This window comes from Homo sapiens, chromosome 5 (assembly GCF_000001405.40).
Source record: "Homo sapiens chromosome 5, GRCh38.p14 Primary Assembly".
In the NCBI taxonomy this organism is placed as follows: domain Eukaryota; kingdom Metazoa; phylum Chordata; class Mammalia; order Primates; family Hominidae; genus Homo; species Homo sapiens.
The window spans coordinates 36,869,611-36,890,372 of NC_000005.10; the positions used below are offsets into that span (position 1 = coordinate 36,869,611).

At 37.3% G+C, this 20,762-nt stretch overlaps 1 protein-coding gene, 1 long non-coding RNA gene and 1 pseudogene across 8 annotated transcripts in view, besides 3 other annotated features; 2 read left to right on the top strand and 1 right to left on the bottom strand.

Moving 5' to 3' along the window:
- Positions 1 to 1,750: 1,750 nt before the first annotated feature.
- On the bottom strand, positions 1,751 to 7,084 carry NIPBL-DT (NIPBL divergent transcript). Its single transcript, NR_046262.1, has one exon. It is a non-coding gene; the product is annotated as an NIPBL divergent transcript (long non-coding RNA).
- Positions 6,455 to 6,504: an enhancer, noted in NCBI's record as "active region_22484". NCBI's record gives its function as "activates an Ori minimal core promoter by ATAC-STARR-seq in GM12878 lymphoblastoid cells {active_cell/tissue: GM12878}" and the evidence as "EXISTENCE:reporter gene assay evidence [ECO:0000049][PMID:35858748]".
- Positions 6,915 to 7,024: a silencer, noted in NCBI's record as "silent region_15975". NCBI's record gives its function as "represses an Ori minimal core promoter by ATAC-STARR-seq in GM12878 lymphoblastoid cells {active_cell/tissue: GM12878}" and the evidence as "EXISTENCE:reporter gene assay evidence [ECO:0000049][PMID:35858748]".
- The window catches only part of NIPBL (NIPBL cohesin loading factor), a 189,645-nt gene continuing 176,041 nt past the window's right edge, over positions 7,159 to 20,762 (top strand). For all 7 annotated transcript variants that reach the window (NM_001438586.1, NM_133433.4, XM_017009329.2 and 4 more), the window contains exon 1: positions 7,159 to 7,568. The gene's annotated coding sequence lies outside the window, so the exon portion shown is untranslated. The remainder of the gene's footprint in view (positions 7,569 to 20,762) is intronic.
- Positions 7,665 to 7,784: a silencer, noted in NCBI's record as "silent region_15976". NCBI's record gives its function as "represses an Ori minimal core promoter by ATAC-STARR-seq in GM12878 lymphoblastoid cells {active_cell/tissue: GM12878}" and the evidence as "EXISTENCE:reporter gene assay evidence [ECO:0000049][PMID:35858748]".
- KRT18P31 (keratin 18 pseudogene 31) lies at positions 15,549 to 16,950 on the top strand (annotated as a pseudogene).

Below are 20,762 nucleotides of genomic sequence, written 5' to 3' on the forward strand. Positions count from 1 at the left end.
TTTGCTTCTAAGTATCACTTTCTTGAAATCACTGGTGGCATACTGAATTTGTATGATTGTTCATATATCAATGAAATTAAATCTTTCAATAAAATTTAAGAAGTTTGTCTACTTCATAATGAAGATATGCTCCACGTCCTATGGAGATAGTGCTTAAGAAGTATATTTTTGAAAGGAATAAACACATGAGTAAAAGTATATATGGTATGTTTCCACAAACCTTGAAACGAGTAAGGGGCTAGACTAGCTAATTCATTTGGTTATTCAACTAAAAATGTTTGGGTCTTTACATTTATTTTGATGCAGTTAGCTAACGCTCAGCTCTTATACTTTTACTTCAAATAATATATAGATCACATCTATTCATTCAATATGCACCCATTCTATCAGGCATTTTGAAGTTCTTAGACAAAATTAAATAAACTGACATAATCACTTAGCTACTAGATTCCTCCAAACATCTCTCACAAAACAGATATTACTTTATTTGTTGTGTTTATAAACAGTAGTGGAAACAATTCTGTTCTCTAATTTTAAGCTGAAAAATCATGTCCTTATTAATTCACTGTAATAATTTTTTATTAAATTTTATCCCTTATTTCTTAGATTAAATGCACATAAATTTGATGTACAACTTTATAGTTTTAAAATGTGTCTATTTATGGCCTAATTTCAACTTTAAGTGAAAATGGAATTATTAAGAAATATTCACTGTTACATTTGGCTAGCAATTCATCATGGCATTAAGGTACTGTTTTCCATGGTTTTTCCATCTTGGGTTATAATACTGAGACATTTCACTTGTATAGTTCTGCATTCAATTTTTCTTCCAATTTATTTCCTGCAAGGTAATTCTAAGTTATAATTGTCACTGTATCCTTATTTGATACATTGGTCGCCTTTCTCTCCTTATGACTGTCTTTTTGGTAAACTCAAAAAGTGAGCAGGGGCCATACAGTTAAATTCAAAACAGGAAGTCATATGATGTTCCTTTATACTCCTACCTTTCATGATTGACTTGGCTCCCTCTGCTGGTTAGTAATATAATTCCTTTCTTAGTTCAATAGGGTATGTGTTAACATTGGTGAAATATCTGGGGTGAATAAGCTTGGAGTTAGAGCTTCTTATATGTTGATTCTCTAGCAAATTTTGTGTTTAGCTAAGGTTTTAACCAACCTAGGCCTTACTTATCTATAATGGAAAGGGACTTGGTATCACATGCCTGAAAAACAAAATTTTTATTAATGCCGTCTTAAATAGACTTGCCAACATTACAATACTGAAATCTACAAATAGCAAATAAAGTGAAAGAGTAATGAAATATTTAAATTGTATTAAAATATTTCAGTATAATATAATCCTTAACTTATTTGCTTTCTGGTTAGATACTTTTCATTCTACTCATGCAATATAATGCCTCCTTTTTAAATTCTATACACAATTTCTTCCTTCTTAAGTTTCCCCCTTTTAAATCCTATACACAAGTGTAAGTACATTTATTTAAATATATAGAATGAGTTGGATGGCAAATGAGAGTTACCTATTTAAGAACTTATTTACTTTGGCTAGAGAGAAAACACTTATTGAAAGTTTATTTTTCGGAGGGAGAAAGAAGTTTCCACCATTTTCAGGGAGTAATTTGTTCCTATGATAATTACTCTGTGAAAGATAGAAATTTGCTTTGGTCTGACTTATTAATAAACACTTGTTTTAAGATTGAAGGGAAGGTGGGAAGAAATAGAAACAAACATATATTCTGCCCCATGTTTATTATTGTGCTGTATCGGACATTTTAGATTGGAAAATGTGCTACAACAGATCAGTAATAGTCACAGATCTACACACAACAAATGTAGGTCCACTAGGAAAATAATTCCTCCTCACAACTTTAACCGTATTTGACATTTCTACTAACAACATAACTTTATTTCCTACCCTTTGCCTTAAGATTACCTTTCTGAAACCAGTATCAGATCTCTAAAATAGCCTGGTACTTCCTCTAAAATCCTTCACTAGTTCATAGGCAGTCAGATCTTTCTAACATTCCTTTTTTCCCCATTTTCTAAGGAAAATCTGAACTGTAGATTTTTAAAAACAAAAACAAACACTTTTTTTGGCCTGTAACCCACAATAAGGAATATGTTTTACAAGGTAATCTAACACATATACACATGAACAAATGTTTACTTAAAAACACATACCCTTACCATCTGTGATGTACGCTTTTATTTTCTATTCTTTTCTCTATTTTAAATAAAAAATGCTAGTCATAATGCAATAAATTAATTTCATGACCCATAGTGGTACCATAATCCACAGTTTAAAACACTGGTCTGGAGCAGATGCTTTGACTGCAAGGTAACCTACTCAAGAATGCTGTTAAAATGAGCACCATAAGCCTCTCTTCATACCTATTTTAGATGTTTTAAGTTTTTAACAGATTTTATATTCTTCCTTCATAAATACAGTAATTTTTTAAATGATGTTTTTCCAGATTAGTTCAGTATTAAAATACTTGACTAGTTTAACTCTGGTTCACATGCAGAGTATGTGTAGGTTCCAGAAAGATTAGGCTTTCATGAAACTTTATGGTCTTAAATAATTTTACATTAAAATACTTCAGAAGTGCATTTTTTGAGGCCCTTCCCTCTGTGTAATTCTTATGCATTACACAGTGAAACTTGTAGTATAATGTGGAACTGGTCACTTTGATTTAGTAACATAAGGTATAGATGCATGAAAACATAAACAGTAAGGCCAGGCACAGTGGCTCACGCCTGTAATCCCAACACTTTGGGAGGCCGAGGCCGGGGGATCACGAGGTCAGGAGATGGAGACCATCCTGGCTAACACGGTGAAACCCCATCTCTACTAAAAGTACAAAAAATTAGCCGGGCGTGGTGGTGGGCGCCTGTAGTCCCAGGTACTGGGGAGGCTGAGGCAGAAGCATGGCGTGAACCGGGAGGCGGAGCTTGCAGTGAGCCGAGATTGCACCACTGCACTCCAGCCTGGGTGACAGAGCAAGACTTCGTCTAAAAAAAAAAACAAAAAAAAACAAAAAAACCATAAACAATATAGGAGTGTCATAGGATTATAAATAGATGGCATGGATAATAAAATCTACAAGTTTAGAGAAAATTCGTAATTATAGGTGAGAAGTATTAATGAAAGGACAAAGCTTGTTCTTAAAGGATCAGAATAGGCCAAGATGAAAAAAGGCATCCATGGGAAAAGAACTGTTCATTTCTATAATTTTAACAAAATAGATAATCTATGTTGAATAAAATCCATAAATACTATTTCCAAATTTGATTAAGGTATTTACTTTGAAAACCTGAAACAGGAACATATTTACAGTGTTAAGTGATTTGATAATTTTGTAGTTCTGCCCTAAAAATCAATATCCTTAATTAACCCTTCATCAGTTTCTTAAGTCATCTGTCATCCTGAAAGCAAGTTAATTATTCTAAATGTTAAATAATTTTGGTAGTGTCTAATCTATAAAACATACATACACTACCAGTTTTTTTTCTACCTTTAACAAATTCGTTCCCATAAAAGACAATTTTATCACTAACAAAGGATAACTGGCAGGCATAAAATAGTGAGTAGAAAATGATTTTCTAAAATTTTTCATTTCTATCATTTTATAGCAAGTTGCATTTATCTTAAAGATAAATATTCTTCAATAAAAATAACAATTCAAATTTTTCAGTTGTAGAAATTCCTGGTGATGACATTTGATACAAATAGTTTATCCCTGAAATCCATTTAAAATTTTTAATCAAATCTTCTGCAATTCATTGATCAAGAATACATACGAGACTATCCAGGGATATTTCTAGCAAAGAAAACTGAGTCATGCAACTCAGTTCTTGAAGCAAGGAGGCAATTTAAAGTCAGAATAAAGGTTTACTGGGCTATCCTCAATGGACAAGTGGAGGATGTAAGTCACCTGATTTGGAACATAAAAGACTTAAAAATGTAAGAGCAAAACAAATGGATGGTATTGGGAAAAATAATTATTAAGAAAAAAAAACCCAAGACAATGAAATGAAGAAAACACTAATATTAGATTAACAGATTCTATGTAAGATCTCAACTTGGATACTTAAATTTATGCAAGCAAAATACCATTTGATTTAATAGAGAAATACTGTGATATGAATTGAAACAATTTCTTTGATTCTATAACCTGGAAAAAAAATGGTATAAACTATATACAAGTTAAAACCCTCAAAGGCAGTGTTGTTTTCATTCACTGCCATGCATGAGATGTCTAGCATAAAGCTAATTAGCGCCTAATAAGTCCTCAATAAGGGAAGAAACTAAAAAAACTTAAAAATTTTAAATTAAATGACACAATAATGCCAAGACTTTCCAAAGCAGATTGACTGTAGCAGCTGCAGTTACCTGGACATGCAAAATTACTAGTTTACCAGTAACATTTAAGAAAGCAGACAAGAAGATAATTGTGCTTCTATTAGCGAATTGAAATAATGGTATTTTGAAACTGAGTGAAAAACACATTCTGAGTCATCTGTATTAACTTAAAGCTGTTCTGAAGATTAATGGGAAAAATAATAATGAATAGACGATTGGATTTACTAAACAATGTTTGATTAATTGTATTAATGGTTATAAAATACCTATCAAGGCTGTCTTTTCTTGTCCAAAAATTCAATACATGAAATATGAAAATTTGTAATACCATAGCCAAAGCCTTATTGCATAGCTTCTAGCTTACTGATATATTTACTTATTTTAATTTAAAAAGCCTGTTTTTCCAGCCACTAGGAAATAAGATTTCTCACGTTTTATAGTACTCAAAAATCATGATTAAGTATATCTAATGCTAACCTAAGTGTAAGCAAACAGCAAACTAAATGGTGAATTAAAATATCCACACCAAGCCTGACCTCAGCTTTCATTGAACCTTTTCTTCAGAAGAAAACTAAAAATAAATTTCACTAGCATTTGCTTTGCTTGACAGCATAATTGAGTAGCAACCAAAGTAGCCACATGTGGTCCTTTATGTAAGGCCTTCTAGCCTCAGAAACACACACCTTTTGAATTAGCGTGCCTGGTACCCATTTGTGCCCAATAAATACTTGCTGAATGAACTTTTCCAATAGTGCTGGATTTGCTCTGAGCCAACCAAATTCTCACTTTTAATGTATTTTGAAAGACAGAGGACGACAAGATGAAGAATGCAGTTTGAGACTCAGAAGAGCAAACATAATCGGCCCAGTATGGATATGATCATTTGATGCACTGTCCTCGGGCATGCTCATTTACAGAAGCCTAAAAACAAATTTTATCCCTCATTTGTGGGTTTCTGGTGTTGTGGAGGGCTTTCCAATGTTTAGAAGCAATATATTTTTATAGAATTCTGTAATAAACGTGTTTTAAATCTTTTATAAAGCTCTCTGTAGCATATAAGTACATATTAAAGACAGAAATGGGGGAGCATCAAGGCCCTTATAATCGCATTCATTCCTTAACCACATACTACGCATCTACTGTGTGGCATTCTAGGCGGGGGCCGTAACACCAGTGCAGAAAAACACAACCTCTTGTCCTCTTAGAGCTTACATTGCACTGGGGAAGGAGAGATAAGAAGATAAACAAGTATGGATATGTAGACTGTCCAAAGGATAAAATGAGAAGGGGGCTAGGGAACTTTCAGTTTAAAAGTAGCCGCGGAAGCACCGAGTGACACGAGCAAAATCCTGAAGGTGAAGGAGCAAGCCCTGTGGACGACGCTCAGGGAAGAGTCCTACTCGCAAGGATGCCAGGGCAGGCCCGCCCCCACCCTCAACGGCGCGCGGGGACTTCTGCCGCAGTCAAGGCTTTGGCTCACTCCCCTCAAGACGGGAAGCCATTCGCAGGGCCTAGAGAAAAGGAGTGACAGGATCTTGGCCCCCTGAGTGGCCTGAGGCAAAAGGAATAATCTAAGCAAGTTTTCCTACTTACTTTTAGCGCACTGGTACACACACAAATACACAATACAATTCATATAACACGAATTTCGTCCCGGTTGAGTAAAATTCCGCTTACCTACTGCACTTTTTACCGAAAATAGCCCCTTTTTAATTTACACAAACTTAATAGAGAACGGTGGAACAATGGTTACTTCTTGTTTTACAATTTAAAAACTACAACAACCATAGTACTGTACGTATAATCACATATTGTATTCCAGCCTTGTCCAGCGCCTCAGTTTTCCGAACCTAAAGAGGAAAACGATGTTTGAAATCAGCTGGCCGCAGGCCCGCGGGTCGCCCGCAGTCACCGGTGGCTGAGTCGGGGCCGGCGGTTCTCCCCGCGCGCTCGGCTCCACCCACACCTAGAGGGGGGCGCCCGGGCAGCCGCGGGCGAGCTTCTCGCTCGCGCAGCGTCGCCTACAGGCCTTTATCCTGACCGTTAGAGAAGAACCCAAACCTCTGCCGACAAAAAGCAAAAGCAGCGGAGACCGCGTATTTCCAGAAATAAACGCATCATCACAAACACGATTCCAATTCAATCCAGCCGACAGTCGTCTTCACCTCCAAAGGTTGCGTTCTTATTCGCAGAAATAACACGCAGTCGGGCGTAAGGTCCCGGCTCTCAAAAGGCAAGGTGTACGATCCATCCATCCACCCGGCTGCAGGGACACCATTTAAAACGGGCATCATCGCCATCGAATCGCGGGCGTCCTCTGTGGGGCCGCCCGGAGATCGGCTCCCTAAAGCTAACGACGACCTGGGACAGCCAGCGCGGCCTCCAGCCGCCGCCGTCGGCGACCTGAGAGCCCGTCCGGGCCTGAGTGCCCCCCACGCTCACGACCACCACCGAACTCGGGCCCCGCTCCTGTCGGCCTCCAGGAAAATAAAGACAGAGGAGAGCCGGCCCGCCTGTGTCGCAGGGCAAACGTCGCTCTGAAGCATCGACAATACTGGCAACATCCACAGCCGCCCTGAGGGGACGGGCGTAGAGGAGAGCTGCCGCCTCCCGGCTGCTGGGCCCGGGTGCCGCGCGGCGCGGCCGAGGACGCGAGCCCAAGTGGCGGCAGCGGCGGCTGCGGCGGTGGCGGAAGTGGAGTGGGGAAGAGGGGGTGGTTGTTAGTGTTTGGCGCCGGCGGAGGGAGTCATTCCTGCAGCTGCACTTCCGGTCGGCATTTTGTTCTGAGAGGGAGAGACGGAACGAGAGAGAGACACACACAGGGCTCCTTCCCCCCGCCCTCCCCCCCCTCCCTCCGTCGGTACCGACTCACCCGACACCACCAAGCCGCAGGGAGGGACGCCCCCGCCGACAGGAGAATTGGTTCCCGGGCCCGCGGCGATGCCCCCCCGGTAGCTCGGGCCCGTGGTCGGGTGTTTGTGAGTGTTTCTATGTGGGAGAAGGAGGAGGAGGAGGAAGAAGAAGCAACGATTTGTCTTCTCGGCTGGTCTCCCCCCGGCTCTACATGTTCCCCGCACTGAGGAGACGGAAGAGGAGCCGTAGCCACCCCCCCTCCCGGCCCGGATTATAGTCTCTCGCCACAGCGGCCTCGGCCTCCCCTTGGATTCAGACGCCGATTCGCCCAGGTAAATTCCTGCTCTTTATTTCGGCGGCGGCGGCGGCGGCGCCGGCGCCAGGTCCTCAGCGTCTCTCCTCCTCGCTCCCCTCCCCGCCGTTTCCTTAGCGGCCCCAGGTCTCTTCCACAGGCGAGTCTAGAGTTCGCTCCTCTCTGGTGGCAGCCGCCTTGGGTAGCGGTGGTTTTGTACCCTCTCCCGGCCGGCTCCGGTGGCGGGGACTGGGCTCCTGCTGGGCGGCCGGGGAGGCGTAGGCCCGGCGGAGAGTGCAGGCCGCGGGCCAGCGGAATCTACTTGAGCTCGGGGATTAGGAGAGCTCCGGGCTGAGCGGAGCGACTGCTGGTCGGTGACAGGCCTCGCCCGGGAGTGGAGCCGTAGCTAGTGGGGAGGCGGAAACAATACAACTAACAGCAAATGTGCCCTGATCGTCCCCATATTTACAACTTTCCCGGTCCGGGAGTGGGGAACGTCCCAGTGAAACAAACAACCTCCCTTCTTCCCCCTGTGACCCCATGAAGGGAGGAAGTAGTTTCAGTTAGTGAGACAAACGTAAATACTCAGACGCGGATCCAGTGGTAATTCTTTCTCTTTCTAAAACTTGTTTGGACGTTGGAAAGTTCATAAAGACTCATTTTCTTTTTTAAAGAATTAAATCGTCCACATGAATATTTAATACAGAAAAACATACTGTGGTAGACACTGCACATCTCCCCCTCCCCAAGAGCTTTTATCTTGTTGTTTTGACAGTGTGTTGTTGCACATGGACTTTTTATTCAAAGACAAGTATAAAGTACTTGACAGGTTTACTCTGCCACTTTCTATTTGTATGCGTTATGTAAGGGCAGTTTTAAGCGACTATACGTAAAACACTCAGGTACTTCCTGACCAAAACGTGTAGGAGCATACAAAGAATTTTAAGTGTTCTGAGAATTGTGCTGAGATACGGGTAAAACCACTTTTCTTTTCTTTTTCCAAAAAAGAAATTAAGTTATACTTAAAATCCTTGGGAGGTTAAAAAATTGTAGAAGGTGCCATCCTTTTATGTCAGGGCAGTTCTTCTTGAGGTCCCAGGATTGTCATTGGCTGTTTGTGCCATGATGTTTGACTGTGTAATGAGAGAGGTGTCATTTTAATAGGTTAAATGTATCTGTAAATGCTGGAGAAAAATATCAGTTCTAACTTGACAAGTTCTAGTTCATGAGTAAGTTAAGTGTTTCGAGCTTGTTTATGGAGGCGTTCATAATGTAGGTTGGTATAAGGGGGAAACACCAATTTAAAATTCCTCAGTCAGGCAAATTGCTAGAAAAGTGTACCTGGGTTACACGTTTTGATATTTTGTTTCATATTCGCTGAAGGAAAACTTTCATTGGTTAAAATGAAGCAGCACTGCTCAGCGAAATCCCTTGTTTTACTAGTGTTTGTTACATTGGTTCATATTTTTTGTGTCATTAAATTATTGTCACTGTAGAATAAGTTATTTTGTGGAGGTTATTTTTGAGTTTAGCGTCCTGATTACAATAAATTGTTTCACATTTCCTGCAAACGTACGGATAAATGTTTAAAAGAATGAAGTTAATATAGCTGTCACGTACTAGGCATGTTTTTAATGCTATAAATCCGTGTAGTAGTCAGTAGCGTGTCCGTGATTTGTATTGGTCAGGGAGCAGTTTGAATTTTAAAAAGCCTGAAGCTCCTGCTGAGCCCCAATCCCGGCCTCCCTCCCTCCCACTAATCTCCCATTCCTGTCTTTGTGCTGCCTGCTCCTGTTAGACACTGTTTGCTACGGGGCCTCAGGCCTACTGCGGGTGGGGGGGTGTGCGAGTGGGGGGCATGCCAGGGAGGGAATGCAGACGGGAGGAATACTTCACATCTTAAGAAAGCAGAGGGTTTGTTTTTTTGGGGATGGAGGTGGTAAGGGCTTCATTATAAATGTTTAAAAGGCCTTCATATATTCCTGTGATTGTCTCTACAACTTTTATTTCAAGGGATAAACATATTTTTACTAAAGATAATAGAGGAGTTGTGCTTGCTTAATTTTCACGAACTGAAGCAACTTATTTTTAGAGGTTGTCTTATGCAGATGTTTGAATAAGTGTGTTAGAGATGGGTTTATGTGATTGATTCTTTTTTTTCCTGAGACTTTGGAATTGTTATAGTGAATTAGTTCTTCCCAACTTATTTTCCCAATTCTACATATTTAGTAATTTGTGAGTAATATAGGTTGTGTGATAGCTTTCATTATGATAGCATAAACATTTCTTTAAATTTAAAAATATGTTTTGTTTGGTCCAAACCAATTAAATACGTCATTTTTAAAGGAGAAAACATTGTGTAAAATTCAAATTGTAAAATTTAAACTTGAACTTTAAATCTCTGATAACCTAGTTGGAGAGAATAGTTTGTTTCCCTAAAGAGTGTAGAGTGTTCTGCTTCCCCTCTGTTGGTTGGAATATTCACTAGTGGCTAATCATCTATTTCCATTAAAAATTAAAATTCAGTGAAAGGAGAAATCAGAAGTGTTCCAGTAACCTTATAATCCTAGTTATATTATTTGGAGAAATATTTTCTCATACACCTAAAGGAAATTTCAACAATGTCGCTTATTGTTTCTCTTAACTCTGAAGAGTTGTCAATAACTTTTGTTACTTGAAAAGAGATTTCAAGTAAATAATGAAAGTAAATCAGAGTTGAACATTAAATAGATAATTTTCAATGTTTGAGAAGTGTATATAGGATGCTTCCTTTTTAAAGTTATTCAACAATTTGTTTACTAAAGTTATCTGAGAACATTTTTGAACCTGTTCTAGAGATCATTATAATATTTTCTGCTTTTAAGGAAAAGTTATACATTACTTGAAAAAAGAAAAACAGTCTACTTGAGATTCTTTTTAGGGATGTAAAGTGAAAGTTTTTACTATGGCAGTAAACTTGGTTCTTCATAGTAATCATTATTAAATTTCAAAAATATGAGCAAGCTATACCAATACAAAATTTTCTTTACTTGCAGCCGAAAAATGTATTTTCTAAGGCTTCTTCAACTAATTTCATATTTAATTTTTTGGTACCAATCCATCATCAAACTGTCATAGAAATATTTGAACATATCTGTGTTACATGTTTGAAATACCCCATTGTGGTATTTTTACTTTCTCAAAATAAGATGTAGTAATTAATAATATAAGAGTAAATAAAAACCAGGAGTTTGAGTTTTATTTAATTTCATTTAATCCTCCTTTCTGGTGCTTATTAGGAAAAGCATAATTTGGAAGAAATTCTAAAATTTTAAATTAAGATTTCAGTTTTATGTGAAGTGATTAGGGAGTGTGAGGTAAACAGTAATTCCTTTTAGAGAAATGTAACTTTAATTCTGTTTATCACATTTACTTGCCATAAAAATGAATGGGAAATAATTGACTAGGAACCTTTATAGAAGGCTGACAACTAACTGTTCAGTTGAACATGCTTATTTTAATATCCTGAGCGTACTAGGTTAGGTTTGGTGGTAATTTATGGTCTTATATAGCCTTTAAAAATTGTTTTAAGATGGACTTTTTAAGCAAAGTTTTTCGTTTTTTCAGCAGTTGTCATTTATAATAATTCTTCGTATTTTAAAACTAGTCCTTTTTCAAGGTGACCTGAGTTCATTTAAAAATATTCTGATATCCCTGTGAGAGAAGTGACCAGCTTTCCGTTTAATGATGAAATACTTGACACTTAAGAGACCATATGATTTGTGTAGATTCATGTAGTAAGTCAGCCGGAGGATAAGGGATTCCCTGACACTAGTATTTTCTTAGATTATGTTGCTTTAAGAAATGTGTGAGCTCTGGTCTTGAAGCTAGGTATTGCTCAGTGCTGACACTGACACCATTTGTTACTTTTTCAATTATCTAAGTTCAAAGTGCATTTTTCTTGTCTTTGAGAGAGAGGATACCTGTTTCTTGGTTGTATTTTCCTGGTATGAAAATAGAGTGGGATTTTAGTGTTTCTGGTTGATTTAAAAGGAATTTTAAACTCCATGTCTCTTAAGGCCATCATTGTAATTTTAAAGGGTATTTTATGTGCTTAGAATATTTTGCCCAAATAAATTAAGTAATAAAAGTAATTTTAGGTATTTGTCTTGTGTGTAATTTTTTTTTTTTGGTGTAAATCTGGAGTCAGTTTTGTTGAATTGAGTTTTGTCAAGTTGCATTATGTTTTAAGGCATATTTTTTTCTATTCCCAAAGTTATATCATTAGGAGAGATCATTGCTTGATGTAGCATTGCCAGCTAAGATTTTGAGGACTTATTTGCCAGGAGTTAAGTCTGTCCCCATAATATCTCATTTAATCTTTTAACATGCCCAAAAGTAGAAACAATAATTATCTACAATGTACAGATGAGGAACCTGAGGCTGGAAAGGTTTAGAAAACTGCCCATGGTCCTACAATTAGTAAATGATCAGTCTGATTTACATTTGTTCTTATGGATTCAGGATTCTATGTATCTAGTTTCAATGAAATTTTAATATTATCTTTTGGGTGTTAGTTGATGTGATACTTGCCCAGTCACTTAGTCAAGAAAATTGTGTACTTCAGGCAAAGAAGCTGAAATAGAATTCAGGCTATATATTCTGTATTTATAATACTTTTAAAAATCAATAACTCTTTACCATCTTGTGTTTAAAACAATTTTTGTTAAGCAGTCTGTGAAGCTTTTAGTTCTTTGAAGTATTTTATATTGAGTTGAAGATGTTTGTCAAAGCATCTGTTGTTAGAAAGACAAAGTTCAGCTTTAGAGAGTCATTTCATTCATAGAAATGTATATGACCAATTGTAGGATAGTAGCTAGATCTATAAATTAGTATGACTGATCATTTTGTAAAGTTTCAGTATTTTTATAGCCAGAGAATGTTGATCATTATAGTCATCAACTTGGGAGGTTGTGCGCTTATTCCAGAACTGTTGCCAGTACATACAACCTTATAGGAATTCCTTTTGTGAATACCTTTAACACATTTGAAATAGTCTTTTTCTCATCTTTATGACAAATCTTTATTTTCTGGGGTGAATTTGAGTTTTAGATACTGTACAACGTCACTTGAAACTTAGTTTAGGGATTTTTTTTGTGTCTGGCACTATGTTGAGTGCTTTATGTTTGTAATATGTAGTATTATTGAATGTTTCCATGTGACAGAAACTGTGCGAGGGAAAAGGTTTTTCAGTTCCTCAAGGTATTGAAAAGTTGAATATGAAATTGAAGTTAGTTGTATGAGAAAACTGAGATATAGAATGATTACGTGACTAGCCCAAGGTCACACAACTAATAAGTTCAAGACAGTGGAGAAAGGATTTCAGAGTTGATACTTTACCCATAAGCCTTAACCACGATACTGTGTATCATGATTTGAACCACCCAACTACTCAGTGAAGTTAGTGATACTGTTCTCTTTTTACAGAGGAAATTGAGGTTCATCATGCTTAAGAAACTTATTCAGGGTAGCAAACCTAGCAAGTGTTAGAAGTAGGATTCCAGCTAAAATGTATCTAATTCTAAAACCTCTATTCTTTACATTCTACCACCCTGGCTCTTCAAAATTTATAATACAATTTTTGGTGAAAGGGTAGCCTTGATTATGAAGTTAGTGACACTGTTTTTCTTGTGGAGCTTACAAGAGTAATTCTAAAATGTTTTGATCAGTTATAGCTGATTCATTATTTGATTATAGTCTTTTTTTTTAAAAAAAAAACCCACCTTGTTACTTTACTTCGTGTATAGTACACAAAATGTTTGTATATTCAAATATGCATATAAATAGGATATTGATTTTTAAATGCAGGTACTGTGGAATATATTAAATGTAGGTATCTGTGGAATAAGTAGCTTTAGAAAATTTGGCAAAAGCTATTCTCAGGCTATAACAATACTGAAATTTTAAAAAAATGATCAGTCATGCTAATTCATAGATTAACTGTATTTTTATGATTTTATTGTGACTCTTGTTACTTTTAATAATGTTAAGCATTAAAAAAATTCCCAAGAATGCATTGAATTTTCAAAATAATTCATGTAGGTAAATTGCTTTGCCATCTTACATGTGTGACATATCTCTTAACATGCATATACCAATTTCCTTTGAGTTCTCTTTTGTACATATTTCTCCTTTGACAGAAAAGAAAAACTTTTTCAGAAATTAGCAATATTAATTTATTAAAATAATTATATATATACTTTTGCCTCTCCTGAGAAATGCAGAAGCTGTGACATAATTTTAAAATGCTGGATTTCCTTTTGTTAGAATTAACATATTTGGGTCACTTATGCAGGTGAAATGCACAGTTATTTTTATATGAGCACTATTGAAAAAATACTATTCTAGATACATTAAAACTAACAAATGTCTAAAACACTAATTATTAAATTCTGACTATACTTTTAAAATATTAGTCTTTATGATTGATATTTATGATATTTAATTTGGTATTTGTAAAGCAAAAATGTCCTTTAATCCTGGTGAGGAAATACATTACAGAGTTTTCTCAACACTGCTACTTGTCAACCCTTTCAGTATTTTAAAACCTGCCTTTAGTTGTCTTTATTTGAATCAGATTGTGGGTTGCCAGTTTTGAGCCAAAGACATCGATCGTCTGAGTGTATGCTCTATGTAATTCAGTTTTTTTTTTTGGTAATGACCAAGTTGAAGTTTTACATGGTTTTAAGTTGGGCATAACTCCATTTATTATTTATTTATTTTTTATTAATACTATTCTTTAAAATTGATGCACATGAAAAAATTTCTTCCTAGGGTTCTGCGTATACCTCAGAAAGCTCTAAGATTGAAAGCTGAAATGTCATGACCTGAAAACTACTGATTCTTTCCCCTTTAAGAAAAGAATTTGGAAACTAGTGTTTATTCCATAACGTTACCTTCAAGTTATCCTGAAAGACACACATGACATACGCTTTTATTTAACTCTACTAATCTTTTTACTATTTTCTCTTTCCCTTTTTTTATGTATCTCTTCCTTTCACTATCAATGTCCATTTCATCTCCCCCAAAGCAAATTTTTACATACTGTGGCTAATATAGGTATTTGTTGTTAATGTGGTTGATCTTGTAATGTGTTACTTTCCCTGATGAAACCCAGAGCAGTTTCAGAGGCCTCAAATTCTGAGATCTTCCTAAGTTCAAAATAGATTGCTGGTAGAAAAGCATTGACATTAACCATGAAAATATATATTTGTGTATTGTTCCCACTTCTATAGACATATATTACTTTTCAAAATGTCAGCTCAAGGACCAGAAATTTTTTCTGAGGAGAAAGAGAAAGCATTGCCTTTACAAAAGTTTCCCTGATCATTCCATTTCATAGCATTTGTACAGTTTTTTACTTGTATCTCTTGATAAAATAATTTGTTCCTATATTCGTCAGCCATACTCAACCATCAGCTCTGTGAAAGCAAAGAGATTTTGTATTATCTTCATCTGTATGTCTATAACATCATCACAGTGCTGCTCCTGTTTTAGGTATTCAATATATATTTGTTGTTTAGTTAGAATTGAGCCATGTGGTATTTCTTAAAGGTATGTTTTTAAATCTAAGATTAGTGAATGGCAAGTACATTTCTCTTAATTTCAAAATATAATTTTCTTAGGTAGAGCTGTGTCCTTGAGGGCTTCTTGCTTTGGGGGTAGGAATATTTTATTTACATATATCCCTAACAATACATACATAACTTTATAAAGATAAAGAAAAATTTAAAGTTCCTTTTTAAGCTGTTAATGAGGATCGTGAAGTACAGGAAGGGTTTTTTGTTCTGATTCCTTAGGCAGTATAATTGGAGTAAGATACTGGAGTATTGCAAGAAGTGAAATATCTAAATACTTTCTTGTTTTAATCTTTGGATTTATTGCAGTTTTAATTTTTTTTTTGCCAATTTAAGTATTATATATAATCAGATAAGTTAAATAATGAGAAATACGTTACAGCACATAAAAAATGCTATTCAGGGTCAGCAAAGCCTGAGTCCTGTCCTCTCGCTCTCCTCCCTGGACAGCATGAGCTTCACCACTTGCTCCACCTTCTCCACCAACTACTGGTTCCTGGGCTCTGTCCAGCCACCCAGCTATGGTGCCTGACTGGTCAGCAGTGCAGCCAGCGTCTATGCAGGCGCCAGGGGCTCTGGTTCGCGGATCTCCGTGTCCTGTTCCACCAGCTTCCGCGGCGGCTTGGGGTCCAGGGGCCTGGCCAAGTGGATGGCCCAGGGTCTGGCAGGAATGGGAGGCATCCAGAACAAGGAGACCCTCCAAAGCCTGAACAACCACCTGGCCTCCTACCTGGACAGAGTGAGGAGCCTAGAGACCAAGAACCAGAGACTGGAGAGCAACACCCGGGAGCACCTGGAGAAGAAGGGACCCCAGGTCAGAGACTGGGGCCATTACTTCAAGACCATCGAGGATCTGAGGGCTCAGATCTTTGCAAATACTGTGGACAATGCCTGCATTGTTCTGCAGATTGACAATGCCTACCTTGCTGCTGATGGCTTTAGAGTCAAGTGTGAGACAGAGCTGGCCATGTGCCAGTCTGTAGAGAACGACATCCGTGGGCTCTGCAAGGTCATTGATGACACCAGTGTCACTTGGCTGTAGCTAGAGACAGACATCGAGGCTCTCAGGGAGGAGCTGCTCTTAATGAAGGAGAACCACGAAGAGGAAGTAAAAGGCCTACAAGCCCAGCTCACCAGCTCTGGGTTGACCGTGAAGGTAGATGCTCCCAAATCTCAGGACCTCGCCAAGATCATGGCAGACATACAGGCCCAATACGACGAGCTAGCTCAGAAGAACCAAGAGGAGCTAGACAAGTACTGGTCTCAGCAGATTGAGGAGAGCACCACAGTGGTCACCACTCAGTCCGCGCAGGTCGGAGCTGCTGAGATGACACTCACGGAGCTGAGACATACGGTCCAGTCCTTGGAGATCCATCTGGACTTGATAAGAAATCTGAAGGCCAGCTTCTGGAGAACAGCCTGAGGGAGGTGGAGACCTGCTATGCCCTGCAGGTAGAGCAGCTCAACAGAATCCTGCTGCACCTGGAGTCAGAGCTGGCACAGACCCAGGCAGAGGGGCAGCACCAGGCCCAGGAGTACGAGACCATGCTGAACATCAAGGTCAAGCTGGAGGCTGAGAGCGCCACCTGCCACCGCCTGCTTGAAGATGGCAAGAACTTCAGTCTTGATGATGCCCTGGACAGCAGCAACTCCATGCAAACTATCCAAAAGACCACCACCCGCTGGATAGTGGATGGCAGAGTGGTGTCTGAGACCAGTGACACCAAAGTTCTGAGACATTAAGTCAGCAGAAGCAGGGTACCCTTTGGGGAGCAGGAGGCCCATAAAATGTTCAGAGGTCATTGGGGGAAAATAGGCTATTCAGTTAAAATAGTTATCTGATGACTGAAATTTTTTTAATATGTCAGGTGTATTGAGGTATAATTTATACAGTAAAACTCAGTCTTTTGGGTGTGCAGTTTGATGAGTTTTGACAAACATACACAGTCTTAAAACCACCACCACAATCAGAATATTTCCATTACCCCCAAAAGTTCCCATGTATCCCTTTGTAATCAGTTTCCTGCTCCTACTGCAGCCCGAGGCAACTAGATCTGGTTTCTGTCTCTATAGTTTTTCCTTTTCTAGAACATAAAAATGGAATCATATATAGCCTTTTATGTCTTTTTTTTAAATTTAGCAGAAAGCTTCTGAGATTCATTCATGTTCTATGTATCAGTAGTTTGTCAATGACTGAAGTTTAAAATTGTTAACTTTGGTGAAGCTCTTACGAAAGAGTATTATCAAAAAATAGTACTTTGAACAGTGGTAGATATTTCTCTCAGATTTTGGCAGCTGCCTTATTATTGAACATTTTACTTGCTCATTTTTACCCCTCGACCCCCAAATTTTACTTACCTGTTTAACCCTCAACCCCCAAATCTAGTCTAATAGACATTATTATATGGCATTTATTTATATTAGTAAATGCTGTTTAATTCTCTACCAAGCATGTGAAATAGACCTACTCTCTTTTTCATAATTAAAATAGGTAGCATCTTGCATTTTGAACATACAGCACATAGAAACTAGAATAAAAAATGAAGGATGGTGCAGTAACACCAAAAACTTGAGTTTACATTTGCTTTAGGTTTAGTGTTTGTAAGTTGGTGCTAAAAAAAGAGCATAGATTATAGTGAATAACAGTCACAGCCTCTCTTCCAATGATTAAAGTTAGAAAAGCAGTGCCCTTTACTGAAAATTGGGGGCAGATAATGAGAAAAGAGTAATTTTCTGGACATTTTATTCGACCACCTCTCCCCCGACCCTTTCCTTTTTGAAACAGCTTCATCTCTGGGATATTCTCTTGTTGTTTGCTTATGTCTTTGACCTCCCATTTTTTAAGTCTTTTGCTAGGTCTTGCTCCTCTACCTACCCCTTTAAATATTTGTATTCTCCAGGAGGTGCTTCAAACTTATTTCTGTTCTTCCTGTTGATCTCATTTATTCACATGACTTGTTACATGCTACCTGTGTGCTGATGACTCACAAATCTATCTCCAGAATATATTTCTCTTCTGAGCCAGATCCAGCTGTCTATCAGGTACCTCCTGATGTCCCATGAATAACAGAAATTCCATAGTATGTAAGTCTGAACTCATCCCTTAATTCTTCCTTACTCTGACCTGTCACCCAAAGAAAGAAAACTATTAAAAAATACATGAAGTAGGTTAATGTTTTCACTATCAACTCATTTACCTAAACTAGAAATTTGGGATAATCCTTGACACTTCTTTACCATACTTCCAGTTCAGTTATTCACCCAGTTCTGACATTTGTAACACTTCCCTGAATTATCACTTGAATCTACCCCTTCCCCAATGTTTTGATTCTGTGAGAGGTCCTGAACATACAGTTTTCTCAGATTTAATAACTTCTAGTATTTTAAGAAAGATTTAGCAGTAATTGTGAAAGTAATATGTATTTAGTATTGGATACTTTTTGCTTCTATGCTTGGGCTCTGGTATTTAAAATTAAGGTGTAATCTTTAGTAACAGTGATACTATATAGCCTAAATGTGACTGTGTTCTGTTATATCTAAAATTTAGGACTTTTGACTTACAGCCCAGTTTATCAGCTGGAAGACTTGAACTCATTTTTTAACTCATTTTTTATCTTTTCATTCTTGCTTTTAGAATACTGCATTTCATGGAGTTGTATATTCATTTCAATACTTTGTGTTTATGTGTTTTGGAGCAGGGTAGAGGAGAAAATGGGAATGTATAAGGAAAGTTAAAGGAAGGACTTTTGAATTGACTTTCCTATACTGTGGAAACAAGTTTACTTAAATAACATTTTCACTTTTATTGCAAACAACAGAAAACTAAAGAAATGCTGTGGGATATGATACCATTCAGGTGCTAAGCATGCACATATTTTTAATGACAGGAGTTAGATGTGTTGTAACAGTATTGCTTGTTTGTGAGTTTGGAAATTAATGTTCATGGTTTTGTATAACTTTATGATATTTCTTCCTTAAAATAAGAAATTACCCCTCCAGCCCACAGTTTGAGCCAAAGGGTCTGCTTGAAATTATTAGTTTAAATAATCCTGAGCGCATCTTTTGTAAAGGGCATTTTAAAATGTAATGCTGCCTTGAAAAACAAAGCAAGCATTTTCTTCGTTATATCTAGAGTTTATAACTAAAGAAGTAATATGTGCTATATTTTGCTCTAGTGCCAAGTACCATATTTTGGAATGAATAGAATCAATCTAAAGGCAGTTTACAAAGGCTGAAGGGAGACCCAGTTTGGTAGTCATTGGATCCCTTTGGTGGCTTGCACATAGTAAGCACTCAACAAACAATTGTTGAATAAATGAATTTGAATATATTTTCAGTTTGGGGACATAGGACTAATTAGAGTGACAGAAGATGGGTGGGGCTTGCTAAATACTGAGCAAGTTTTATAGAGGAAAGAAAACATGAAACCCAGAAATGGTGGACAACATTGACAGCAAAGAATTGGTGTAATTTAGTTAACTATTTTTATCTGGACAATAAGGTTTGTTTAGTTGGATAAGAGAAAGATCTATATACAGAAGTGTTTTGAGTTCTTTCTACTCTTATTTCCACTCTGGCTCTACTTCTGAACCCCCATGTTCACTGCTAAAGAACTAATTGTAGGCTTGGGGCTAAAATGATCTGCATAATCCAGATACTCATATTAAGAACTGGGAGGAGGTGTTGGGAAAGAGGTATTTCTTACAGTTCTTCAATCTTTCCAATTACTCATGTTTCTTAGTATATGTCAGGGTGCCACTGCACTGTCCTCCGTATTCATATGAGGATGTCTAAAAACTAGAATTTAAAATCACATATAATTTACAATAAGCTTGTAACTGTCCTAGTATGAAGTTCAGTATCTGAATCTCTAATAATTAGTTACCTAGCTGTTGAGCCACATTGCCATCTACTCTGATTATCATATGTTTCTTATGATTCTGATATTTTAAACTGGAAGATAAACACCACAGTTTTAGTGTGTTTTATAAAAATTTTATAATTCAGTAACAATCCATTCCTTTATTTTCTTGGAAGCCAAAACTACATATAGTTTCCTGATATGTTAAGCTTAAACTGTGGAATTTAGAACTTAAAAATTTTCAAGAGCTTCAAAGTTGAAGACTTTTCTTAATTTTTTTTCAATTGTAGAACCAATGTGAAAAAAAAAACTACATGCTGTTTGGGAAATGGGAAAAATATCAAATTTTATGTTTTTCCTACTAAGTTTCCTATTAAATTTTTACATAAAAATATTTATGATGAATGTAATTATGGTTAAATACATATATTAATGCTATAAATTTATTCCTCTTTTAACGTTGGATCATAAAGATTTTCCTAGTTTTCTATATAATGTTCATAATTCTTTAAAATGTTGCCCAGTATTTTGTCAGTGGATGAACCATAATTTATTCATTCTATTCTTGCATACTTTTTGCTTTTACTTTTTTTCTATATAAATAATGAGGCAGTGAACATCTTTATATGTAGTTTTTTCCCCCTTTAGGGGCTTTATTCGCTTAGAGTAGAATCTCTTAAGTGGAAGTAATCCTGTAAGTGGAAGTTGGGTCAAAAGGTTTGAACATTTTTATGGCCTTTAATATATATTTCCAAAA